Raw genomic sequence first — 3,196 nt, 5'->3', positions numbered from 1 at the left:
AGAGTTAGTATTTAAGGGGTAACAGAGTTTCAGTTAGGGAAGATGATAAATTTCTGGAGATGGATGGTAATAATGATTGTACAATAATGTAAATGCATACAGTCTTAGAACTGTGTACTTAAAAACTAATAAAATGGTAAAATTTTTAAAAATTGCTGGCTCTTTCACTATATATTTTATATCTATTAGGAAAGTTTCCTCTAAATTTAACAGTTCCAAAGTAGTTCTGAAAAATAATTTTTAAATGTCATACATATTTAATTTTGTTAGGTTTCCAATTAGTAGAAAATCTATAGTATGTGGATTTATTAAAACTCATTAATTCAGTCATATTTAACCAACTTGTTCCAATGACGACCTGTATTTTTTTCACTTTTATGCTTTGTTAGTCAATTTATTTCACTTAGTTGCCTGTCAATTTGGATACCAGAATTTCTCATAAATACTTAATTGCCACCTGGAAGATAAACATTTTCTTTTCATCCTTTTAACTACATTGACATAATGTGAAAGTGCTCTAGATTTATTAATATCTTTAAACTTATTTCTCTCCCTGACCACGTGATTATTATTCACAGCTTTCATTTGCATATTCAAGCAGTGACAATACTTGATATTTTATAGGTTTGCTCCTTATAGACAATCAGTAGGCCATGCATTTCACCTTATTTGTATTAATTCAGGTTAAAATGAATCTAGTGTTACTTCACTTATTTATCTTTAGTAATTAATAAGTTTCATGCACGTCCGTGTGAAGAGACCAAACAGGCTTTGTGTGAGCAACATGGCTGTTTATTTCACCTGGGTGCAAGCGGGCTGAGTCCGAAAAGAGAGTCAGAGAAGGGAGATAGGGGTGGGGCCGTTTTATAAGATTTGGGCAGGTAAAGGAAAATTACAGTCAAAGGGGGTTTGTTCTCTGGTGGGCAGGAGTGGGGGTCGCAAGGTGCTCAGTGGGGGAGCTTTTTGAGCCAGGATGAGCCAGGAAAAAGACTTTCACAAGGTAATGTCATCACTTAAGGCAAGGACCGGCCATTTACACTTCTTTTTTGGTGGAATGTCATCAGTTAAGGCGGGGCAGGGCATTTTCACTTCTTTTGTGATTCTTCAGTTACTTCAGGCCATCTGGGCATATACGTGCAAGTCACAGGGGATGCGATGGCTTGGCTTGGGCTCAGAGGCCTGACATTCCTGCCTTCTTATATTAATAAGAAAAATAAACAAAATAGTGTTGAAGTGTGGGGGCGGCGAAAATTTTCGGGGGGTGGTATGGAGAGAGAGAATGGGTGATGTTTCTCAGGGCTGCTTTGAGCGGGATTAGGGGCGGCGTGGGAACCTAGAGTGGGAGAGATTAAGCTGAAGGAAGATTTTGTGGTAAGGGGTGATATTGTGGGGTTGTTAGAAGAAACATTTGTCGTGTAGAATTATTGGTGATGGCCTGGATACGGTTTTGTATAAATTGAAAAACTAAATGGAATAAGAGAAGCAGAAAAACAGGTATAAAAGGTCTAAGAATTGGGAGGACCCAGGACATCTGATTAGAGAGTGCCTAAGGAGATTCAGCATAGTCCTGCCAGCAAAGATTATTTATTTACTTCAAGAGTTAAGAGTGGCGGTTTGGGGATAGCACCAGGAGATATCAGCTGTGATGGCTTGTAGAAACAGTGTAAACTGGCAGTGTAAACAAGAGTAGGGCATGTTTGAGTAGTTGAGAACGGTGAATAGGAGTATGACTAGACAGAAGATACTAGGGTTGACAAGTTTTTTGGGGCACAGTCTAAGTCGGTCTGGTGTCTGGAATGAGACTGGGGCCTAATAAAAAGGAGCGTCTATACAGGAGCTTAAATGGGCTGTACCTTGTAGCATTCTGAGGACAGGCCTGAATTCTGAGAAGCGAAAGTGGTAAAAGTATTGTCCAGTCCTTTTTAAGTTGGTGGCTGAGCTTGGTGAGGTGTGTTTTTAAAAGACCATTAGTCTGTTTTACTTTTCCTGAAGACTGAGGACTGTAAGGTATATAAAGGTTTCCCTGAATACTAAGAGCCTGAAAAAATGCTTGGCTGATTTGACTAATAAAGGCTGGTCTGTTATCAGACTGTATAGAGGTGGGAAGGCTAAACTGAGGAATTATGTCTGACAGAAGGGAAGAAATGACTGTGGTGGCCTTCTCAGACCCTGTAGGAAAGGCCTCTACCCATCCATTGAAAGTGTCTACCCAGACTAAGAGATATTTTAGTTTTCTGACTCGAGGCATGTGAGTAAAGTCAATTTGCCAGTCCTGGGCAGGGACAAATCCTCGAGCTTGATGTGTAGAAAGGGAGGAGGCCTGAACAATCCATGAGGGGTAGTAGAATAGCAGATGGAACACTGAGAAATGATCTCCTCGAGGATAGATTTCCATGATGGAAAGGAAATGAGAGGTTCTAAGAGACGGGCTAGCAGCTTGTAACCTACATGGAAGAGGTTATGAAATGACGACAGAATAGAATGGGCCTGTGAGGCTGGAAGGAGATATTTTCCTTGGTCTAAGAACCATTTGCCTTGTGTGGGAAGAGATTGATAGGTGGAAGTTTCAGCAGGGGAGTAGGTGGGAGTGACTGATGTGAAGGAGAAAAAACTGGATGTGAGGGACAGAAGTTGGAGAGCTAGCTGCTTGTCTTGCCACCTTATCAGCATAAGCGTTGCCTAGAGCAATGGGATCTGACGCCTTTTGATGCCCCTTGCAGTGAATGACCCCAGCTTCCTTTGGAAGTAAAGCGGCCTTGAGTAGAGTTTTTATTAAAGAGGCATTAATGATGGAGGACCCTTGTGCAGTGAGAAAACCTCTTTCAGCCCATATGACCGCATGGTGGTGCAGAATATGAAAGGCCTATTTAGAATCAGTATAGATATTGATGTGTAGTCCTTTTGCAAGAGTGAGGGCTTGAGTTAAGGCAACTAGTTCGGCTTGCTGAGAGGTAGTGGAGGGGGGCAGAGTGGTAGCCTCAATGATAGATGTGGAAGATACTATAGCATAGCCTGCCTTTGCTGGTGAGTGGCAATTAGGCCTGGTGGAACTGCCATCAATAAACCAAGTGTGATCAGGGTGAGAAACAGAGAAGAAGGAAATGTGGGGAAATGGGGTGAACGTCAGGTGGTTCACAGAGATGCAGTCATGAGGGTCAGGTGTGGTATCCGGAATAATGTGGGAGGCCGGATTGAA

At 41.7% G+C, this 3,196-nt stretch overlaps 1 annotated feature.

Moving 5' to 3' along the window:
- Positions 753-1,314: an enhancer, noted in NCBI's record as "NANOG hESC enhancer chr2:209948524-209949085 (GRCh37/hg19 assembly coordinates)". NCBI's record gives its function as "activates a minimal SCP1, AML or CMV promoter by ChIP-STARR-seq in primed H9 embryonic stem cells {active_cell/tissue: H9 hESC(primed)}" and the evidence as "EXISTENCE:reporter gene assay evidence [ECO:0000049][PMID:30033119]".

Source organism: Homo sapiens, chromosome 2 (assembly GCF_000001405.40).
Source record: "Homo sapiens chromosome 2, GRCh38.p14 Primary Assembly".
Taxonomy (NCBI): Eukaryota; Metazoa; Chordata; class Mammalia; order Primates; family Hominidae; genus Homo; species Homo sapiens.
Note: the sequence above shows the minus strand (reverse complement) of the source record. Positions and strands in the feature narration are given on the sequence as shown.